This window comes from Homo sapiens, chromosome 2 (assembly GCF_000001405.40).
Source record: "Homo sapiens chromosome 2, GRCh38.p14 Primary Assembly".
Classification (NCBI taxonomy): Eukaryota; Metazoa; Chordata; class Mammalia; order Primates; family Hominidae; genus Homo; species Homo sapiens.
This window is the reverse complement of record NC_000002.12, coordinates 229954908-229979240: the sequence shown is the minus strand read 5'-3', so window position 1 is coordinate 229979240 and position 24333 is coordinate 229954908. Positions and strand designations below refer to the sequence as shown.

The following is a 24333-nucleotide window of genomic DNA, read 5'->3' as shown; positions in this document are numbered from 1 at the left end:
CAAGTGTGAACCACCACACCTGGCCTATTGCATACTATTATTGTTAAATAATGGATTTTTTTTTTTTTTTTGAGACAGAGTATCACTCTGTTGCCCAGGCTGGAATGCAGTGGCACGATCTCTGCTCACTTCAACCTCCACCTCCCAGGTTCAAGTGATCCTCAGCCTCCCGAGCAGCAGGGATTACAGGCGCCTGCCCCCACGCCCGGCTAATTTTTATATTTTTAGTAGAGACGGGGTTTCACCATGTTGGCCAGGCTGGTCTCAAACTCCTGACCTCAGGTGATCCACCCACCTGGGCCTCCCAAAGTGCTGGCATTACAGGCATGAGCCACTGTGCTCGGCCTAAATAATGGAATTTTTTAAAGAGTGTTGATTATCAAAGATCCACTCAGAGTTTGCCTTCTAAATGAGATTATCGTGCTTGATTTTTTTGAGTTTCAATGCTTAGTCCTGGCAATGTCAGTATTTAGCTGTAAGATCCTCCTTTCTGAATTTCATGGCAATAATATTTATTTCACAAGGATGTTATAACAATAAAATGAGAGTGAAAGTACTTGATATTAATAGAAATAACATTGTTAACTATAATAAGAATCTCTAAGGTGTCTTCTAGCTTTAAAATATTACTATTATTATTATTATTATTTTTTGAGATGGAATTTCACTCTTGTTGCCCAGGCTGGAGTGCAACGGCGTGATCTCGGCTCACCGCAACCTCCACCTCCTGGGTTCAAGCAATTATCCTGCCTCAGCCTCCTGAGTGGCTAGGATTACGGGCACCCACCACCATCATGCCCAGCTAATTTTTTGTATTTTTAGTAGAGATGGGGTTTCACTGTCTTGGCCAGGCTGGTCTTGAACTCCTAACCTCAGGTGATCTGCCCACCTTGGCCTTCCGAAGTGCTGGGATTACAGGCGTGAGCCACCGTGCCCAGCTATTATTATTATTTTTGAGACATTCTTGCTCTGTTGCCCAGGCTGGAGTGCAGTGGCATGATCAGGGTTCACTGGAGCCTCAACCACCTGGGCTCAAGCAATCCTCCCACCTCAGCCTCCTGATTAGCTGGGACTACAGGCACGTGTCACCACACCTAGCTAATTTAAAAAAAAATTTTTTTTTTGGTTTTTGTTTTGTTTTGTTTTGTTTTTGTGGAGACCAGGTCTCACTCTGTTGCCAAGGCTGGTCTTGAACTCCTGGGCCCAACTAATCCTTCCACATTGGCCTCCCAAAGTGCAAGGATTACAGGTATGAACCACTGCACCTGGCAAATTTTTATTTTTAAGGAGTAATTATTAAAGAGTTTAGTCGAAGAAAGTCCCTTGAGAGACACATTCTAAAGTAGATTAAGATTAAACGACATTAACAATTGGGATTTGCTTCACAATAATCCAGTGGGAACAGTGGGTTTCATCTATAGGTCTGGGTCACATTTTGAGTATTGCTGAAGATGGGTCATGAGTACATGGGAGTTAGTTAAAAACCATTCTGGCCGGGTGCAGTGGCTCACGCCTGTAATTCCAGCACTCTGGGAGGCTGAGGCAGGTGGATCACCTGAGGTCAGGAGTTCGAGACCAGCCTGGCCAACATGGTGAAACCTCATCTCTACTAAAAATACAAAATTAGCCTGGCGTGGTGGTGTACACCCGTAATCCCAGCTACTCGGGAGGCTGAGGCACAAGAATTACTTGAACCTGGGAGGTAGAGGTTGCAGTGAGCTGAAATCATGCCACTGCATTCCAGCATGGGCAACAAGAGCAAAACTCCATCTCAAAAAAAAACAAAAAACAAAAAACAAAACCATTCTGTCTGCTTTTTATGTTTGAATTTTTCATATTGAGAAGTGTTAAAATAATTAATTGGGAAGCAATTGGGCTTAGACGTCTCCAGTGTCCTGAGTTCTTATGCAAGCAAACTGAAACCCAACTCAGAACAGATGGTTGGGCCAGGTGCAGTGGCTCATGCCTGTAATCCAGCACTTTGGGAGGCTGAAGCAGGAGGATCACTTGAGGCCAGGAGTTCAAGAACAGCCTGAGCAACATAGTGAGACCCTGGCTCTACAAAATTTTTTTTTAATAAAAAAAATGTTTTTTAAATATAGATGGTTGTAGCATAGGAAAAGGAAATTTCTCTTTACCCAGTCAGAAACCGCCAACTAACCTCTAACCAGAGACTTTACCAGTCAGAAACTGCCAACTAACCTCTAACCAGGGAATTTCCACTGTAACCAATCAAATATTTTGTCTTCCTTCAGAAAACACCGTATAAAAGTTTTCCCTCAAGCCCTTGCCAGTAAAGCCCAAACCACTTGGTTGTTTGCCACTGCCCAATTCATAAATATTATAGCATAAAACTATATTTACTTGATTTTAACTTCATTAATGGAGTCCACATGTTAACCTAGGATCTTTTTTTTTTTTAAGACAGAATTTTGTTCTTGTTGCCCAGGCTGGAGTGCAATGGTCTGATCTCAGCTCACTGCAACCTCTGCCTCCTGGGTTCAAGTGATTCTCCTGCCTCAGCCTCCTGAGTAGCTAGGATAACAGGCATGTGCCAACATGCCCGGCTAATTTTTGTATTTTTAGTAGAGACAGGGTTTCACCATCTTGGCCAGGCTGGTCTCGAACTCCTGACATCATGATCCACCCGCCTCGGCCTCCCAAAGTGTTGGGATTACAGGCATGAGCGACCGCGCCCGGCCAAATGCTAATATGTTTTCCAAGAGAAAAAAACAACAGTTTTCTAGTTTTTAAGAATCTAACATTGTATATGTAAGTACATAACTGCATATCAATATTTCAAGTGAAAATATATTTGAAACTTCTTTAACAAAATCTACCACTAACTAATGAGAACTTAACAGGGGTATATAATATGTTCCGTTCCTTACCTTGAAGATGTGAATTCTCTAGGAAGTCTTCATGGGTTTCTTTTGCTTCTCCAGGTTTTGTTGATCGATACTCACTCCTTAGAGAGATCTTCCACCATCTAAAGATTACCTATAATTAAATACAAAGTGATATGAATTAAAATTGATTTCAATACTAACAGTTACATTAAGTTTGGGGTTTTGAAAATTTGCATAAGGCTATGTGTCCAACATTAGCTATAACTTTGCAGTCTGGCATCACATCAAATTAGAATTAACCTCTGGGCATCAAAGAACATTTTCCTTAGAGATTAAAATCACAAAACCATAGTGCTAGAAGGAACTTTTAAAATCGATCAGGTCGGCCGGGTGCAGTGGCTCACACTTGTAATCCCAGCACTTTGGGAGGCCGAGGTGGGTGGATCACTTGAGCTACTTGGGAGGCTGAGGCAGGAGAATTGCTTCAACACTAGAGACGGAGGTTGCAGTGAGCCGAGATCGCGCCACTGCACTCCAGCCTGGGTAACAAGAGTGAAACTCCATCCCCCGCCCGCCCCCCCACCAAAAAAAATAAAATAAAATAGATCAGGTCAAAGGCTGGGCATAGTGGCTCACATCTGTAATCCCAACACTTTGGGAGGTTGAGGTGGGAGGATTGCTTGAGCCTGGGAGTTCTAGATCAGCTTGGGCAACATAGTGAGACCCTGTCTCTACAAAAAATTTTTTTAAATGAGCTGGGCATTGTGGTGTGCTCTGTAGTCCCCACTACTTGTGAGGCTGAGGTGGGAGGATCCCCTGAGCCCGTGAGGTTGAGGCTGCGGCTGCAGTGAGCTGAGATCGCACCACTGTACTCCAGCCTGGGTGACAGAGTGAGACCCTGTCTCAAAAAAAAAAAAAAAAATCCATCAGGTCAATTGATGTTAAAATCACCCGGAGCCAAATGGTTATCTGTTTCCGGAAGATGTCTGAGAATAAACATTCCATAATTTGGGGAGCTAATTCCAAAGAAATTGCTCAGCTCTCCTCCTTCCTTCACTGTCTACAGGTACAGACAAGATGAGTGGATAATTTTCCCACAGAGAGCAACAGTTACATGGACAGAGATAGGGAAAGCATCATTATGCTTAGTTTGATGCATGAAAAAGTGTCATTACACAGGACACTTCTTGGTAATGGATCTGCTGATGGCACATTTGTCTTCTCTGAGAATTTTGGTTTATCTGAAGCAAACTTCATTTCCATGGTTATGGACTGCACTTAAAGGCTGTGTTGATTTCATGGCAGTGTCAATTAATGGGCCTGATGAGAAGCCCCTTGAAACATATCTTATATTATGTTTTTAAACCTGTAATGGAGCTGGGTAGGTAATTAAGATGACAAAACTTCCACCGATTTGAGAAACAGACCAAATTATGTCTGCATTTCGATGAAGGCTAGGAGGAGAAAGATGGGAAATACAGTCACACTGGGGGCTACAGCTTCAACATTAGAATTTGGCAGGGACATAATTCAATTAACAACAGAGGGGTATCAAGCACTGCAGTAGAAATGGCATGCATTTTACAGCAACACAGGCCTGGGCAATCTCTCTGCACTGCAAGTTTCCTTTCCATTAAACATTATTTAATATTAATGGGCAAGGCCTCTATGTTATAATGACAGTCAGTGATCCTTCCAGCCAGATCAAGCAACAAAATCCTTGGTTGAGTGGGGGATTCCGGAAAAAATGGAGATCGAGCCCAGGGCACCGCTCCAGAAATGTTACATTGCTGGGCTTGCCTCTTAACTTGTTCATAAAAAGGCAGAGAGATGCCTGTACAATCTGTTGGCCTCATATCTTGCATACCATTCATTTCATCAAGGAAAAATTATTTCGACATTCCTTATACTAACTAATGAACCCTCTGGTACTGATTTAGAAGGCAACATCTGCAGTGCTTGCCACAATGGCCACTGGAGGGACGCTCTCCATGGCACACATTCAAGTTAAGTCACACACACAGATAAGCTTCCCACTGGCCCTTCCGAGGTATTTAAAGTAAATTACTGAGAATATAACACTTGCTTAAGGAAACACAGCTAGCTAGGACCAGAATCCAAGTCTCCTCACTGCTAACTCATAAACACAGAGTTCCTTTGGAGGCCTGATGCTTTTTTTTATGTATAACCTTCACACTACAACCCATTAGACCACTCTACAGAGCAGTACACAGAAAACTAATGTTCATAATCACAACTTAACTGCAAGATTCAATTATGTTCCATGTATTGTACTTATTAAAACAGAATTAATAGCTATTTTCTTCTTCCTTTTTGTTTTTGAAACGGGGTCTTGTTCTGTCACCCAGGCTGGAGTGCAGTGGTACGACCCCAGCTCACTGCAGCCTCGACTTCCTGGACTCAAGTGATTCTCTCATCTCAGCCTCCTGAGTAGCTGGGACCACAGGCGCGTGCCACCACCACAAGGCTAATTTTTGTATTTTTTTGGTAGTGATGGGGTTTCACCAAGTTGCCCAGGCTGGTCTCAAACTCCTGGGCTCAAGTGATCTGCCCACCTCAGCCTCCCAATGTGCTGGGATTATAGTCATGAGCCACTGTGCCCAGCCGAATAGACAAATTTAAAATTTTAAAGAACTTTTTTTTTTTTTTTTGAGATGGAGTCTTGCTCTGTCCCTAGGCTGGAGTGCAGTGGTGCGATCTCAGCTCACTGCACCCTCCGCCTCCCGGGTTCAAGCAATTCTCCTGCCTTAGCCTCCTGAGTAGCTGGGATTACAGGCGCCCACCACGGCACCTGGCTAATTTTTGTATTTTTAGTGGAGACGGGGTTTCACCATGTTGGCAAGGTTGGTCTCAAACTCCTGACCTCATGATCCGCCTGCTTCGGCCTCCCAAAGTGGTGATATTGCAGGTGTAGCCACCGCACCTGCCCTAAAATTTTAGACATTTTTTAAAAATATGGAACACTCCATGAATTTCCATGTCATCCTTGCGCGGGGGCCATTCTAATCTTCCCTGTATAGTTCTAGTTTTAGTATATGTGCTGCCAAAGCGAACACAATAATAAGATATTTTCTAACACTTATTTTTTCTCAAATTGGTGATTTTTTTAAGTGATAAAACCCTGTATTGGTGAGGACAGGGAAAAATGGAAGCCCTTTAAAAAAATCGTTGAGAGGAGTGTCAACTGGTTTGGCAATAGCTATCATAAGCCTTTCAGGTATCCATACCCTTTGACCAAGACATCCAACTTGGAAGAATTTTTAACGAATTTATTGACAAGGTACACAATATCTTTTTCTTTTTTTTTTTTTGAGACAGAGTCTTGCTCTGTCCCAGGCTGGAGTGCAGTGGCAGGATCTCGGCTCACTGCAACCTCTGCCTCCCAGGTTCAAGCTGTTCTACTACCTCAACCTCTCGAGTAGCTGGGATTACAGGCGCACGCCACCACGCCTGGCTAATTTTTGTATTTTTAGTAGAGACAGGGTTTCACCATGTTGGCCAGGCTGGTCTCGAACTGCTGACCTCGTGATCCTCCCGCCTCAGCCTCCCAAAGTGCTGGAATTACAGGCGCGAGCCACCACCCCTGGCCACAATATTTTTTAATGAGGATGGTTGTCATAGCTGAATTATGACAGTAAAAAAATCAGAATTGAGCTGGGCGTGGTGGCTCACACCTGCAACCACTTTGGGAGGCTGAGGCAGTGGGATGATACTCATCCCACTGAATGTCGGTGGGATGACATGAGAGAATATCCAAAGTGCCCTGCCCGATGCCAGACACAGAGTATGCTCCATAGGGGCAGGTCTTCCCTCCTCCTCTCTCCCTCTGTTCACTTGCTGGTCACTTACTGGTCAGTCCTTCATATTTATAGTGATAAATTCAGCCCCAAAAGCCAGGAGGTCAGAACCATATTTTTTTCATCAGCTGTCTAATAGTATTCAATCATAGCTATACTTCATCGAGATCTATTTTCCTAATCATAATCTTCAAAGATAATTATTTCAGCTTTCAGTCGGACCTGGTATTTGATTTTCCTAATTACTAGTAATTGTTAAAAATTGCATACTTGGTAGGCCGGGCACGGTGGCTCATGCCTGTAATCCCAGCACTTTGGGAGGCCAAGGCGGGCAGATCACCTGAGGTCAGGAGTTCAACTGAGACAGGCCTGTCCAACATGGTGAAACCCAGTCTCTACTAAAAATACAAAAATTAGCTGGGCATGGTGGCAGGAGCCTGTAATCCCAGCTACTTGGGAGGCTGAGGCAGGAGAATCACTTGAACCCAGGAGGCGGAGGTTGCAGTGAGCCAAGATCGTGTCATTGCACTCCAGCCGGGGACAAGAGCAAGACTTCATCTCAAAAAAAAAAAAAAAAAAAAAGAATTGGATACTTGGGCCAGGTGCAGTGGCTCATGTCTGCAATCCCAGCACTTTGGGAGGCCAAGGCAGGAGGATCACTTGGGCCCAGGAGTTCAAAACAAGCCTAGTCAACACAGTGAGGCCCTGTCTCTACAAAAAATTAAAAACAAAAAAAATTAGTTGGGGTTGGTGGTGCGTGTCTGTGCTGAGGTGGGAGGATCACTTGAGCCCAGGAGGTTGAGGCCGTGGTGAGCCATGATTGTACCACTGCACTCTAGCATGGGTGAAAAAATGAGACCTTATCTCAAGAAAAAAAAAAAGTTAAATTAATTATCTTCAAACAGAGTGGATGTGATTGGGAATCTGTGGCAGATGCTGTTTGCCACAGAGAATTCAATTGCCCACCTGCCCTTCCATTTCTCCAGTATCCTCTCACATAGCTTGTGCTCAGAGTATAGGCCTCATCAGTAGCTCTAGGAGGCAAGCCTGATCGGTTTAAGTCATTTCTGGGTAGATTTTTTTTTCCCCCTGCCAGCAATTGGTATGGGCATAGGCATGTGATAAAGTTTTAGCCAATGAGATACCAGAGGTCTGCTGGGACTCTGAGAAAGATTTTATCACTTGTTTTTTGTTTGTTCTTTTTTTTTTTTTTTCTTTTGAGATGGAGTCTTGCTCTGTCACTCAGGCTGGAGTTCAGTGGCGTGATCTCTGCTCACCAAAACCTCTACCTCCTGGGTTCAAGCAATTCTCTTGCCTCAGCCTCCTGAGTAGCTGGGATCACAGGCGCTCACCACCATGCCTGGCTAATTTTTTATATTTTTAGTAGAGACGGGGTTTTACCATGTTGGCCAGGCTGGTCTCAAACTCCTGACCTCAGGTGATCTGCCCGCCTCGGCCTACCAAAGTGCTGAGATTAGAGGCGTGAGCCGCCTCACCTGGCCATGATTTTATCACTTGTAAAAAGAGACACAAGAAAACACAGCTCCTTTTGAGGAACTGACAATTTTTGTGTGTTGATGCAATTGCTGGAATTGCTACAGCCATTTTGGACTATGAGGGGAGCCAGGAAATTAAGACAATGGTTTTCATCACTTATTTCAGAGTTACTGAAAGAGCTCTTTAATTCGTCATTAGGCATGTATTTTAGAACATTATTGTTAGTAATTATACTAATTAACTCATTTTATAAGTTATAGTAACATTATATTAATTTTAATATGACAAATCTATGTTACCCGTGAATATATCTAAAAAAGGAAAATATAAGTGGAATACACAGACGAAAGTTCTCCTAAAAGTTATCTATCTTCAGGATCTGAGTGTTCTGAATCACATCCTAAATGAATGTCTGCAGTGTTTCACACGGAATATTGTCCTCTGTGACATCAAGAACATTGGTGATAACAGTAATGAGGTGCTGGGCTCTTAAGCTGGTGCTGCAATTACATAGAGATGGCTTCCTTTTGATTTCAACTCTGAGGATGCTGTAAACATGTCAGGCTCACACTATGCCCTCCCATAACTATTTACAGCCTAGGTTAAAAGTGCACTCTTCTCTAGCTTCTGGATTTTCTTCCAAACTGCTACCTTGATGCTCAGGTTTCTGAGTTGTTTCCAGTTTCTGCCTATTACAGATATATACATTTTTTTCTTTAAATAGAGATAGCATCTCACTATGTTGCCCAGGCTGGTCTCGAGCTCCTGGGCTCAAACAGTCCTCCCACCTCAGCCTTCCAAAGTGTTGATATTACAGGTGTGAGCCACTGCACCCGGCCCCAAATAAAGTTTTTATAAACATTTGTGTGTAGGTTTTCGTATGAATATAAGTCTGCATTTCTCTGGGATAAATGCCCAGGAGTGCAATTGCTGGGCCATATGGTAGCTGAATATTTAGTTTTTTTTGCCACTGTCAAAATGTTGGCACTTAAAATGGTAATGGGCACTTTACATTCCTATCAGCAGTATATGAATGATCCAGCTTCTCTGGGTCCTCACCAGCATTTGGTAGTGTCACTATTTTATTTTAGCCATTCTGATAGGTGAGTAGTGCTGTCTCACTGTGATTTTAATTGTTCAATATCTTTTCATGCATTTATCTGCCATTCATATATCCTCTTCGGTGAAATACCTCTTAATGTCTTTTGTCCATTTTCTAACAAGATTGTTTGTTTATATATTGTAAATACTAATCCTCTGTCAGATATGTGGTTTACAAATATTTTCTGCTATTCTGTTCCATCTCTTAGCAGGGTCTTCACAGAGCAAAAGTTTTTAATTTTGACAAAGTCCAATTTATCAATTTTATTTTATTTTTATTTTTTATTTTTCTGAGACAGAGTCTCTGTCACCCAGACTGGAGTGTGGTGGCGTGATCTTGGCTCACTGCAACCTCCGCCTCCTGGGTTCAAGTGATTCTCCTGTCTCAGCCTACTGAGTAGCTGGGACTACAGGCATGTGCCACCACGCCCGGCTAATTTTTTGTATTTTTAGTAGAGACAGGGTTTCACCGCGTTAGCCAGGATGGTCTCAATCTCCTGGCCTCGTGATCCACCCGCCTCAGCCTCCCAGAGTGCTGGGATTACAGGCGTGAGCCACCGTGCCTGGCCTGAATTTTTTTTTTTTTTTTTTAATTTGTGAGTGTGGTGGCCTCCAGCTGTAGTCCCAGCTACTAGGGAGGCTGAGGTGGGAGGCTTGCTTGAGCCTGGGAAGTCAAGGTTACAGTGAGCTGTTGATTGTGCCACTGCACTCCAGCCTGGGCAACAGAGGGTGACCCTGTCTCAAAAAAGAAAAAAAAAACAACTTTGTTTGATCTTGGTAGAATTCTAATTATGCGTCTTTAGATTTTGGTAATGCTTGAGAAAATTAAATATATTCAATTCATGATTATAGACTGAAATGCTTAACAGAATTTACTCAAGTTTATAAGGGGTATATAAATTTAAGATAATTTGAGCCTGGTGTGGTGGCTCATGCCTTTAAGAGGCCAAGGTGGCTGGATCCCACTTGAGGTCTGGAGTTTGAGACCAGCCTGGCCAACATGGTGAAACCCCGTCTCTACTAAAAACACAAAAATTAGCCAGATGTGGTGGTGCACGCCTGTAATCTCAGCTACTCGGGAGGCTGAGGCATAAGAATCACTTGAACCTGGGAGTCAGTGGTTGCACTCAGTGGAGATTGCACCACTGCACTCCAGCCTGGGCAACAGAACAAGACTCCATTTCAAAAAATAATAATAATAATAATTTGGCCGGGCATGGTGGCTCATGCTTGTAATCCCAGCACTTTGGGAGGCTGTGGTGGGTAGACTGCTTGAGATCAGGAGTTTGAGACCACCCTGGGCAACATGGCGAAATACCATCTCCACAAAAAATACAAAAATTAGCCAGGCATGGTAGCACACGCCTGTAGTCCCAGCTTGTAGTGGGGCTGAGACAAGGGGACTGCTTGAAGCCCGAAGGTCAAGGCAGCAGTGAGTGGTATTCCTGCAACAGCATTCTAGCCTGGGTGACAAAGCAAGACCCTGTCTCAACAAAACAAAACAAAAATTTCAGAGAATTAAATTTGCTAGATATATAAGTTTTGTGTCTTTATATGTTTAAGACAGTTTAAGTTTGTGAACAGTGCATAAATGTTTGAGATTTTAATTTGTCAAATGTATAATTAAACAATCAAAGTACAATGAAAATAAGAGTTTTAAGTTTTAACACAAAATTATTTGATTTATAATTGAATTTACTAGGTTTGTAAGTTGTGTGTTGAAAGTTTAAGGGAAAATACATTTTTAATTCATAACTTTAATTGAATATTATAATATTTAATACTAATTAAATATAAATAATTATAAAATAGAACTTCTCAAATCAGATTAAAAATATTGATTTAGGAATAAATGATTTAGGAACCAGTGGGTGGCCATTTGAAAAAAGAAGTTGAATCTCCGAATAGACCAATAACAGGCTCTGAAATTGAGGCAATACTTAATAGCTTACCAACCAAAAAAAGTCCAGGACCAGACGGATTCACAGCCGAATTCTACCAGAGGTACAAGGAGGAGCTGGTACCATTCCTTCTGAAACTATTACAATCAATAGAAAAAGAGGGAATCCTCCCTAACTCATTTTACGAGGCCAGCATCATCCTGATACCAAAGCCGGGCAGAGACACAACAAAAAAAGAGAATTTTAGACAAATATCCCTGATGAACATCAATGCAAAAGTCCTCAATAAAATACTGGCAAACCGAATCTAGCAGCACATCAAAAAGCTTATCACCATGATCAAGTGGGCTTCATCCCTGGGATGCAAGGCTGATTTAACACATGCAAATCAATAAATATAATCCAGCACATAAACAGAACCAAAGACAAAAACCACATGTTTATCTCAATAGATGCAGAAAAGGCCTCTGATGAAATTCAACAGCCCTTCATGCTAAAAACTCTCAATAAATTAGGTATTGATGGGACATATCTCAAAATAATAACAGCTATTTATGACAAACCCACAGCCAATATCATACTGAATGGGCAAAAACTGGAAGCATTCCCTTTGGAAACTGGCACAAGACAGGGATGCCCTCTCTCACCACTCCTATTCAACATGGTGTTGGAAGTTCTGGCCAGGGCAATCAGGCAGGGGAAAGAAATAAAGTGTATTCAATTAGGGAAAGAGGAAGTCAAATTGTCCCTGTTTGCAGACGACATGATTGTATATCTAGAAAACCCCATTGTCTCAGCCCAAAATCTCCTTAAGCTGATAAGCAACTTCAGCAAAGTCTCAGGATACAAAATCAATGTGCAAAAATCACAAGCATTCTTATACACTAATAACAGACAAACAGAGAGCCAAACCATGGGTGAACGCCCATTCACAATTGCTTCAAAGAGAATAAAATACCTAGGAATCCAACTTACAAGGGATGTGAAGGACCTCTTCAAGGAGAACTACAAACCACTGCTCAATGAAATAAAAGAGGATACCAACAAATGGAAGAACATTCCATGCTCATGGGTAGGAAGAATATCGTGAAAATGGCCATACTGCCCAAGGTAATTTATAGATTCAATGCCATCCCCATCAAGCTACCAATGACTTTCTTCACAGAATTGGAAAAAACTACTTTAAAGTTCATATGGAACCAAAAAAGAGCTCACATTGCCAAGTCATTCCTAAGCCAAAAGAACAAAGCTGGAGGCATCACGCTACCTGACTTCAAACTATACTACAAGGCTACAGTAACCAAAACAGCATGGTACTGGTACCAAAACAGAGATATAGACCAATGGAACAGAACAAAGCCCTCAGAAATAATACCACAGATCTACAACCATCTGGTCTTTGACAAACCTGACAAAAACAAGAAATGGGGAAAGGATTCCCTATTTAACAAATGGTGCTGGGAAAACTGGCTAGCCATATGTAGAAAGCTGAAACTGGATCCCTTCCTTACACCTTATACAAAAATAAATTCAAGATGGATTAAAGACTTAAATGTTAGACCTAAAACCATAAAAACCCTAGAAGAAAACCTAGGCAATACCATTTCAGGACATAGGCATGGGCAAGGACTTCATTTCTAAAACACGAAAAGCAATGGCAACAAAAGCCAAAATTGACAAATGGGATCTAATTAAACTAAAGAGCTTCTGCACAGCAAAAGAAACTACCATCAGAGTGAACAGGCAACCTACAGAACGGGAGAAAATTTTTGCAATCTACTCATCTGACAAAGGGCTAATATCCAGAATCTACAAAGAATTCAAACAAATTTACAAGAAAAAAACAAACAACCCCATTAACAAGTGGGCGAAGGATATGAACAGACACTTCTCAAAAGAAGGCATTTATGCAGTCAACAGACACAGGAAAAAATGCTCATCATCACTGGCCATCAGAGAAATACAAATCAAAACCACAATGAGATACCATCTCATACCAGTTAGAATGGCGATCATTAAAAAGTCAGGAAACAACAGGTGCTGGAGACAATGTGGAGAAATAGAAACACTTTTACACTGTTGGTGGGACTGTAAACTAGTTCAACCATTGTGGAAGACAGTATGGCGATTCCTCAGGGATCTAGAACTAGAAATACCATTTGACCCAGCCATCCCATTACTGGGTATATACCCAAAGGATTGTAAGTCATGCTGCTATAAAGAAAGACACATGCACACGTATGTTTATTGTGGCACTATTCACAATAGCAAAGACTTGGAACCAACCCAAATGTCCAACAATGATAGAGTGGATTAAGAAAATGTGGCACATATACACCGTAGAATACTATGCAGCCATAAAAATGATGAGTCCATGTCCTTTGTAGGGACATGGATGAAGCTGGAAACCATCATTCTCAGCAAACTATTGCAAGGACAAAAAAACCAAACACCGCATGTTCTCACTCATAGGTGGGAACTGAACAATGTGAACACCTGGACACAGGAAGGGGAACATCACACACTGGGGCCTGTTGTGGGGTTGGGGGAGGGGGGAGGGATAGCATTAGGAGATATACCTAATGTAAATGATGAGTTAATGGGTGCAGCACACCAACATGGCACATGTATACATATGTAACAAACCTGCATGTTGTACACATGTACCCTAGAACTTAAAGTATAATAAAAGAATATAAATATATAAAAAATAAATAAATAAAAAAGAAAAAAAAAGAAAATTCATTCATGCCTCACGCCAGGAAAAAGTGCAAGTAGATCAAAGATCAGCATATAGGCGAGGTGCAGTGGCTCAGCCTGTAACCCCAACACTTTGGGAGGCTGAAGTGGGAACTTGGGCCCAGGTGTTTGAGACGAGCCTGGGCAACATAGTAAGACCCTCATCTCTACAAAAAAAAAAAAAAAAAGGAAGGAAGAAAGAAAGGGTCTGCGTATTAAAAAATCAGACCATATAAGTCCTAGATGGAAAAAAATGGTGAATTCCTTTAACATATTTCAAACTGTGTCTCAAAATCCAGAAACAATCAAAGAAAGACTGATAAACTCTACTAAATAAACATAAAAACTTATTCCATGGAAAAATCTCCAAAGACCTTTATAGTAGAAATGTTTAAAGCAGCTTAGTTCATCGTAGCTCCAAACTGGAAATAACCAAAACAAACATCAACTGGTAAACAGGTAAGTACATCCATATGACAAAATGTTACTCAACAATAAAAAGAAATACTGATACACGCACCGGGCGCGGTGGCTCACGCCTGTAATCCCAGTACTTTGGGAGGCCGAGGCGGAAGGATCACGAGGTCAGGAGTTCGAGACCAGCCTGGCCAACACAGTGAAACCCTGTCTCTACTAAAAATACAAAAAATAATCGGGCGTGGTGGCAGGTGCCTGTAGTCCCAGCTACTCAGGAGGCTGAGGCAGGATAATCACTTGAACCCGGGAGGTGGAGGCTGTGGTAAGCCGAGATCGCACCAACTGCACTTCAGCCTGGGTGACAGAGCGAGACTCCGTCTCAAAAACAAAGAAACAAAAAGAAATACTGATACATGCAATAACAGTTGAATCTCAAAGCATTAAGATAAGTGAAAGAAGCCAGACAGAAAATGCTATGTTCCATACATAACATTCCATTTACGGCATGTTAACAAAGAAAAAACAGAAATCAGATCAATGATACCAAAGAATTAGGGATGGAAGAGGAAACTGACCACAAAGAGGTATGAGGACAATTTCAGGTTGATGGAAATAGTCTGTATCTTGATAATGATGGCGGTTATACATTTTTTTAAATTCATGCCACCTGAAAAGAGTGATTTTTACTGTATTAAAAGCATATCTCAAATGTGATTTGAAAACAAAAACCATCAAAACAAAGTAAAAAATAAAATAATGATAAACTGAAAAACATTTGCAATTAACATTACAGACAAACAGGCAATCTCCCTAAAGAGTTTGTATAAAGAGAGAAAAATATCAACAAATAGTTCACAGGGAAAAAAAAAATTCACAAGTCTCATAGACATATAAAAAGATGCTCAATTTTACTCATAATAGTAAAGCATATTAAAATCATACTGAAATATTATTTCTCATCCATCCAGACTAGCAAAATCCAAAAGAATAAAAACACACTCCATTTGTAAGGATCTGGGGAAACAGGAACTCACCACTGTGGTACAAAATGTATGGAGGGAAATTTGGCATAATCTAATAAAATTATGGATGCTTTCATCCTGTGACTCAGCAATTCCATTCATAGGATTACATACTACAGACAACAGTGCCACACATAAGAAACACAAAGGATAGGCTGGGCGCGGTGGCTCACGCCTGTAATTCCAGCACTTTGGGAGGCCGAGGCGGGTAGATCACAAGGTCAGGAGATCGAGACCATCCTGGTTAACACGGTGAAACCGCATCTCTACTAAAAATACAAAAAATTAGCCGGGCATGGTGGCGGGCGCCTGTAGTCCCAGCTACTCGGGAGGCTGAGGCAGGAGAATGGTGTGAACCCACGAGGCGGAGCTTGCCGTGAGCTGAGATCACGCCACTGCACTCCAGCCTGGGCGACAGAGTGAGACTCCGCCTCGAAAAAAAAAAAAAAAAAGAAAAAAGAAATGCAAAGGATACATGTATAAGTTTCTTCATTGAGGTATTACTGGCAAAAGCTAAAAAAAACAACCTGGGGGGCCGGGCACGGTCGCTCACATCTGTAATCCCAGCACTTTGGGAGGCCGAGGTGGGCGGATCACGAGGTCAGGAAATCTAAACCATCCTGGCCAATATGGTGAAACCCCATCTCTACTAAAAATACGAAAATTAGCTGGGTGTGGTGGCAGGTGCCTGTAATCCCAGTTACTCAGGAGGCTGAGGCAGAAGAATCGCTTGAACCTGGGAGGCGGAGGTTGCAGCAAACAGAGATCATGCCACAGCACTCCAGCCTGGGCGACAGGGTGAGACTCCATCTCAAAAAAAAAGCAACCTGGGTCAAGCAATAGGGGACTGAATGAATGAACTTTGACATAACCTCACAAAGGAGTACTCAGTTATGTGCTACCCTAAAAAAGAATGATGAAGCTGGGCGTGGTGGCTCAGGCCTGTAAACCCAGCACTTTGGGAGGCCAAGATGGGTGGATCACCTGAGGTCAGGAGTTTGAGACCAGCCTGGCTAACATGGTGAAACCCTGTCTCTACTAAAAATACAAAATTAGCCAGATGTGGTGGTGCATGCCTATAATCCCAGCTACTCGGAAGTCTGAGGCAGGAGAATCGCTTGAACCCAGGAGGCGGAGGTTGAAGTGAGCCGAGATCGCACCACTGCACTCCAGCCTGGACAACAGAGTGAAACTCCGTCTCATAAATAAATAAATAAATGCCAAGGCTGCTGAGTGCAGTGGCTCATGCTTGTAATCCCAGCACTTTGGGAGGCTGAGGCAGGAAGACTAGTTGGGGCCAGGAGCTTGAGACTAGCATGGATAACACAGTGCAACTCTATCTCTACAATAAAATAAAATAAAATAAAATAAAATAAAATAAAATAAAATAAAATAAAAATCAACTAGGTGTGGTGGTGCATGCCTGTAGTGCCAGCTATTTGGGAGGCAGAAATAGGAGGATTGCGTTAGTCCAAGAGTTTGAGGCTGCAGTGAGCTATGAATACACCACTGCACTCCAGCCTTAATGACAGAGCAAGATCCTGGTTTCAAAAAAAAGAAAAAAAGATACCGAAATTAACTTTATTCATTATCTAATTATTTATAAGTAGTTAGAAAATGAATATGGGAAGAAATATACCCTACATTGCAACAGTTCAAAACAATAAAATACCTAAAAATAAATAACATAAGGAGTATAAAACCTAATTTTTTTTTTTTTTTGAGATACTCTGTCACCCAGGCTGGACTGCAGTGGCACAATCTCGGCTCACTGCAACCTCTGCCTCACAGGTTCAAGTGATTCTCATGCATCAGCCTCCCTGGTAGCTGGGATTACAGGCGCATGCCACTGTGCCCAGCTAATTTTTGTGTGTTTTTTGTAGAGATGAGGTTTCGCCATGTTGGCCAGGCTGGTCTCAAACTCCTGGCCTCATGTGATTGGCCCAGCTCTGCCTCCCAAAGTGCTGGGTTTACAGGCATGAGCCACCATACCTGGCCAAAAACCTAATTTTAAAACTATTCAATTTTATTGATGGCCCTAAAGCCAATACCTGAACAAATTGAGAGGCATTTTATAGTCTAAGATTAAAATTTTAATTTCCTTTTTAAAAAAACTACCCCTTCCCAAATGAATATGTAAACCTAATGCAAAGCCAATCAAAATTCACCTTTTTCGGGGAAAGAGGACAAAATTATTTTAAATTCATGTAGTAAAATAAATGTGGCTGGGCGCAGTGGCTCATGCCTGTAACCTCAGCACTTTGGGAGGCCGAGGCAGGCGGATCACAAGGTCAGGAGATCGAGACCATCGTGGCCGACATGGTGAAACCCCGTCTCTACTAAAAATACAAAAATTAGCTGGGCGTGGTGGCATGCGCCCGTAGTTCCAGCTACTCAGGAAGCTGAGGCAGGAGAATCGCTTGAACCTGGGAGGCGGAGGTTGCAGTGAGCCGAGATCGCACCACTGCACTCCAGCCTCGTGACAGAGCAAGATGCCGTCTCAAAAATGAAAAAAATAAAATAAAATAGTGTGTGAAAATTGCCAAGAAAATCTTGGGAAAAAAAATTGTGTCTTGCAATATATTAGAAAGTAATATAAGGCTATTATAAATTAGCATGGTATTTGTATATAATAAACAAATATATTGGTGGAAGAGTTCACCAGTATCTTCAGGTATATATGGAAAAGGTAGTATTTCAAATTGGGAAGAAAGGATGATTTACTTAATAAATAGTATTAACATGATAAGCCATCCATCTAAAAGGAATAAATTTATTTTTTTTTTTTGAGATGGAGTCTCGCTCTGAGGCCCAGGCTGGAGGGCAATGGCGGTGATCTCGGCTCACTGCAACCTCTGCCTCCCAGGTTCCAGCAATTATCCTGTCTCAGCCTCCTGAATAGCTGGGATTATGGTGCCCGCCACCACACCCAGCTAATTTTTGTATTTTTAGTAGAGTTGGGGTTTCATCATGTTGGCCAGGCTGGTCTCGAACTCCTGACCTCAGGTGATCCGCCCGCCTTGGCCTCCCAAAGTGCTGGGATTACAGGCATGAGCCACTGCGCCCAGCCTAAAAGGAATACATTTAAACTGCTACCTCCAACGACACTCAAAAATAAATTCTAGGCTGGGTGTTGTGGCTCAACACTTTGGGGTGGCTTGAGGCTAGAAGTTTGAGACCAGCCTGGGCAATGCAGCGCAACCCCATCTCTACAAAAAACTAAAAAGTAAAAATAAAAATTAGCCAGGCATGGCGGCACATGCCTGTAGTCTCAGCTACTAATGAGGCTGAGTCAAGAGGATTGCTTGAGCTCAGGTGTTCGAGGCTGCAGTGAGCTATGACGGCACCAGTGCACTGCTGTGTGGGCGACAGAGTGACACCCTATCCCAACACCACCGCCCCCCCGCCCAAAAAAAAAAGACCGGCATGGTGCCTCACACCTGTAATCCCAGCACTTTGGGAAGCCAAGGTGGCAGGATGGTTTGAGCCTCCGAGTTTGATACCAGCCAGGGTAACACAGCTCACCCCACCTCTACAAAAATAAAAAATTACCCAGGTGTGGTGCCGTGGGCCTGTATGTAGTCCCAGCTCCTCAGGAGGCCGAGGTAGAAGGATCACTTGAGCCCAGGAGGTTGAGACTGCAGTGAGCTATGATCTTACCATTGCACTACAGCCTGGATGACAGAGCGAGACCCCATCTCAAAAATAAATAAATAAAAGTAAATAAATAAATAAATTCTAGATGGATATGAGAAATGCCAAAGTAATACTATAATATTTTAATAATAATAAATAATTATAATATCACATTCATTTCAGAAAAGGGTACAGGAAACAGGGATAGCACCCCCACACTAAGAATCATTATGCATGCTTTCAATACCATCCTTATTATCAGGCTGAAACCCTGAAATTAGAACTTTAGAGTTGACTGATTAGAAGCTGTTATTTTAACTGTACACTTCAACAGAGATGGTAGTTATTCATTTTGCTTCCTCTCCTAGGTCTTCAGATCCAGAAATGTAACTTTGGCAGTATTCTTTTTTTTTTTGAGATGGAGTCTAGCTCTGTTGCCTAGGCTGGAGTGCAGTGGGACGATCTTGGCTCACTGCAAGCTCCACCTCCTGGGTTCACGCCATTCTCCTGCCTCAGTCTCCTGAGTAGCTGGGACTACAGGCGCCCACCACCACGCTCAGCTAATTTTTTTGTATTTTTAGTAGAGATGGGGTTTCACCATGTTAGCCAGGATGGTCTCGATCTCCTGACCTCATGATCCACCCGCCTCGGCCTCCCAAAGTGCTCGGATTCCAGGCATGAGCCACCGCGCCCAGCCTACTTTGGCAATATTCTTTATAGAAAAATGTTCTATTACAATAAAGCAAACTGGAGAATTCATGATTGCTGTCATTTTCTCCTCACCATGCATAAAAACTTGGATGTTTACACCTCAGACACAATCTCACATTAGGCAGGTTTTCTGAAAGCAAAACTTGCACAAGATTTTGCACAAGGGAAGGAGGATACGTAAGTAAAGTATAAATACCAATGGTCAAAATCTTTCCAAAAGAAAATGAGGGAGGCCATGCTCAGTGGCTCACACCTGTAATCCCAGCACTTTGGGAGACCAACATGGGAAGATCACTTGAGGCCAGGTGTTCAAGACCAGCCTGGGCAAAATAGCAAGATTCCACCTCTTTTTATTAAAAATTAAAAATTATTTTAAAAAAGAAAATGAGGGCAAAATCTAACATGGGTACTTACGATTCAGAAAAAAAAGTCATATAAGCAATAGGAGGCTACAAGATGGATAACCTAAGTGAATGGAATGTCACTGTGTTCTACAGTGTGAAGGAACAAAGGAGACTTTGAGAGCATCCAAGCAGTTTTGGACTTAGAGGGACATTCCGGCCCAAGGACTTACTAACTGGGTGACCTTGGGTGAGTTTCATCATCTGTTTCTTCAGTGTCAAAGAGATAATAATGCCTTGGTCACAATGTTTTGGGAGGATGGAAATGAAATGATACATGTAAACATGCCTAGCACAGTACCAGGAACATTTTTAGTTTCCTCTCCCATTAACTTATTACTGGAATTTGTTTACATACAGGGCGAGAATGTAGTCATAGTTCCCTAAGCTTTATGGGAAGAAGCTCAGATCCACTCTTGCAGCGGGACACCGTGAGACATCACTCCCAAGTGCAGAGGGACGGGGTGAGTCAATGCCACACCAACAATTCTAACACATACTTTATAGAGGCCTGACCCCAAAACACTCAAGGTGTCTGCAGATAAGTGTGCTAAAACTTTCAAAGAAATTCAGAGCCCTCGGCAGGGTGCGGTGGCTCGCGCCTGTAATCCCACCACTTAGGGAGGCCAAGGTGGGCAGATCACAAGGTCAGGAGTTCGAGATCAGCCTGGCCAATATGTTGAAACCCCGTCTCTACTAAAAATACAAAAATTAGCCGGGCGCCGTGGCGGGCGCCTGTAGTCCCAGCTACTCGGGAGGCTGACGCAGGAAAATTGCTTGAACCCAGGAGGTGGAGGTTGCAGTGAGCTGAGATTGTGCCACTGCACTCCAGCCTGGATGACAGAGTGAGTGAGACTCTGACTCAAAAAAAAAAAAAAAAAAAAAAAAAAAGAAAGTCAGAGCTCTCTGTAAACAATAAGAACAAAAAAAAATTGTAAAGGTCAAACAGATGGAAGTGAAGTTTTTAAAAAAAATTTTTTTTTTAATTTGCATTAGTACAATGTTATCTTCCAGAACAAACCTCTGAAAAAATAATACAACCTGGAATCCTGTTTCCAAAACCTTCCCAGATATGGGCAGGCAAAGTGACTAAGAAGGTACAAAGCCCCCAAGTGTCTGTGGTTCCACTGTACCAAATTCATCTTGGGATATACCTGACTCTAAGCCTACAAGCTGCTTCTTCAAAAAGTTACTATTTACAACTTGAAGGTGTCTATACTTCTACTTCTGGTACAAAACTGTAATCTAGTAGTAAAAAATTTATTTTAAAAATTTTGCCCAAGTTTCTTGAGGGCACAGCTAGAAGGAACTCTGTTAGTGTCTAATCTCCTGGCGGGGAATGAGGGAAATGCCAGGTCCAGCTGGTTGAGAAGCTGACAGTTAACTTTGGATCAGACAAACATTTGCTATCAGAGACACAATTTTTCTCTCTCTCGTCCCTTTCTCTCAACAGTGAGAGCTTCTTAATTTCTTCTTGTTATTGACTCATTCCCTATTACTGCTTGCTTCAAATGCATCCTCAGGTAGAGTCCTATCACTCAGAAATGGTCACCTCATTGTTTTGTATCGTTTTGGAGACAGTCACACTCTATCGCCCAGGCTGAAGTGCAATGGTGCGATCTCGGCTCACTGCAACCTCCGCATCCCGGGTTCAAGCAATTCTCCTGCCTCAGCTTCCTGAGTAGCTGGGATTACAGGCGCCCGCCACCACGCCAAGCTAATTTTTGTATTTTTAGTAGAGATGGGGTTTCATCATGTTGGCCAGGCTAGTCTCAAACTACCGACCTCAGGCTATTTGCCCGCCTTGGCCTCCCAAAGTGCTGGGATTACAGGCATGAGCCACCGTGCCCGGCCTACTTCATAGTTTGATTTCTGTGCCTCCTTCAGTCTCTCTGCATATGTAACATTTCCCTCTTTACTGTGTGGCTTCCTTTCTTCCTGCTGCGGGATGCCTGCATCTATGCCCTTTTCAGTGCCTATCTGCTAGTGAAAAGAATATCCACTAAAGCACTTGTGTTTCTTGGAATTAAATATTCTAAAATTATTAAACATAACAAAATTGGATATAGTTTTCTGAAATCTTCCTCCACTCCTGTTAGGAACTGAACTGTGTCCCTCCCAAATACATACTTTGAAGTCCTAACCCCCAGTGTGATGGTATTTGGAGATAAGACTTGTAAGAAGGATATCAAGATTAAATAAAGTCATATGGGTATAATCCTAATTCAATAGGACTGGGGTTCTTAGAATAAGGGGAAGAGACCCCAGGGGTGTTGTTGGGGCTTAGAAAACAATACCCCACCTCATGAGGTTTGGCGCTGAGTGCTTTGAACTAAAGGAGAACTAGTCTCTTTGACCTTTTCCTGGCCTTCTGTCTCTTGTCCCTTTTTCTCTCCCAAAGTGCAGTGAGAGGCATTCTCTGAATTTCCCTTATCTGCCTTGAGATCCTTCAGAAAGAACTCAATTGTCCTGCATCCCCCTCCACAAGAATCCCATCATGTAGGGAGACTGACTTACCACAGGAAAGAAGACCAAAGGTTAACATCAAATATCCGGACAGACTTTGTCACGAGTTGTCACCTGTTCTTCTGGCCCATTCTTTCTCTCCCTCAAATCATTTATGCTCCCCTAAGCTATCTGCATCCCTCCTTCCCTCTACCCTGTGATGAGAGCATATAAGCTTCTAAATCTCACTGCTTTGCGGATATTTTCTTTCTTGTGATGCCCCTTTTCTATTGTTAATCTGTTTACAGTCAGTTCATTTCATAGACTCAAATTACGGAACCTTCAGAGGGTGATGGGAAAGTTCCCTTTGCCCCGACAATGTGTATGCCCAGAGAAAAGACCATGGCAGGACACAGCAAGAAGTCAGCCATCTGAAAGCCAAGGAGAGAGGCCTCGGCAGAAGCCAAACCTGCCAACACCTTAATCTTGGACTTCCGGTTTCCAGAACTCTGAGAAAATACATTTCTATTGTTTAAGTCATCGAGTCTATGGCAGTTTGTTATGGCAGCCTGAGAAAACTAATACAGCTCCCAAAATGATAATTGTAAGAATAGATTTTACTGAGTGGCTAACATGTGACATGTACAGAGTGCTTTGGACTGAATCCCATTTAATCTTTACAACAACCCTAAGAGGTTAATTAGGATTGTGGTGCTGGGATGAATAAAGATGAATAAAGCAAGATGCAAGGAAGTTTAGAAGAACTTGCCCTCAACCATTCACTGCTCAGTGGGACCTGAATCCAGGTCTATTTGGTCCTACAGTCTATAAACCTGTTAAACCTGTTAAACATGTGACCTTATAGGAATGACAGAAAGCCTTAACTTTTCATTGGCCATGATAATGTAGAGAATGAGTGGTGTTCATAATCCATATGATGCCAATCCACAAATTATTTATGTTTGGAATTAGATGGGTTTTGTACTTAAATTTGATAGGAGTTCGAATGGTGTGCTTGAGCAATCATAGTATTTCATTCATTCCACAAACACAGAGGGCATTGTTTTAGGCAAAACAGACAAAACCCCCGACTCCCATGGGGATTCCATTCTTTGATGAGGGAGAGAAAAGGGAGGTAGACAATACATAAAACAAGTAAACATATTTCTCTCTCTTTTTTTTTTTTCTGAGACGGGGTCTCACTCTGTTGCCCGGGCTGGACTGCAGTGGCACAAGCAGAGCTCACGCCAGCCTTGACCTCCTGGATTCAAGGGATCCTACCACCTCAGCCTCCCAAGTAGCTGGGACTACAGGCAAGTGCCAGCATGCCCAGCTAATTTTTTATAGAGATAGGGTTTTGCCATATTGCCCAGGCTCAAACAATCTGCCCACCTTAGTCTCCCAAAGTGCTGGGATTACAGGTATAAGCCACCATGCCTGGCCAACATATTTCATAGTGTGTTACTGAAAAATGCTGTGAAGAAAAATAAACAAGGAAAAGATAAAAAGTGCTGGGCAGGGGATGAGGGTTCAATTTTAAATAGGGTGATCGGGCTGGGCGCGGTGGCTCACACCTGTAATCCCAACACTTTGGGAGGCCAAGGAAGGCAGATCACTTGAGGTCAGGAGTTCAAGACCAGCCTGACCAACAGGGTGAAACCCCGTCTCTACTAAAAATACAAAAATATTAGCCGGGCGTGGTGGCGCATGTCCGTAGTCCCAGCTACTTGGGAGGCTGAGGCAGGAGAATTGCTTGAACCTGGGAGACAGAGGTTGCAGTGAGCCGAGATGGTGCC

General features: G+C 42.6%; 1 protein-coding gene, 1 long non-coding RNA gene and 1 pseudogene across 3 annotated transcripts in view, besides 1 other annotated feature; 1 reads left to right on the top strand and 2 right to left on the bottom strand.

The window, feature by feature from the left end:
• The window catches only part of FBXO36 (F-box protein 36), a 90617-nt gene that overhangs the window by 33879 nt on the left and 32405 nt on the right, over positions 1–24333 (bottom strand). For both annotated transcript variants that reach the window (NM_174899.5, XM_005246317.3), the window contains exon 2: positions 2892–3000. In NM_174899.5, coding sequence (NP_777559.3) covers positions 2892–3000 — 109 coding nt within the window. The remainder of the gene's footprint in view (positions 1–2891; positions 3001–24333) is intronic.
• RNU6-1027P (RNA, U6 small nuclear 1027, pseudogene) lies at positions 5820–5926 on the bottom strand (annotated as a pseudogene).
• Positions 13918–14132: a silencer, noted in NCBI's record as "fragment chr2:230829825-230830039 (GRCh37/hg19 assembly coordinates)". NCBI's record gives its function as "represses an EF-1alpha promoter that drives an FKBP-Casp9 reporter gene in an ReSE screen in K562 erythroleukemia cells {active_cell/tissue: K562}" and the evidence as "EXISTENCE:reporter gene assay evidence [ECO:0000049][PMID:32094911]".
• LOC105373924 (uncharacterized) lies at positions 20242–22928 on the top strand. Its single transcript, XR_923981.4, has 3 exons — positions 20242–20282; positions 20453–20556; positions 22846–22928. It is a non-coding gene; the product is annotated as an uncharacterized LOC105373924 (long non-coding RNA).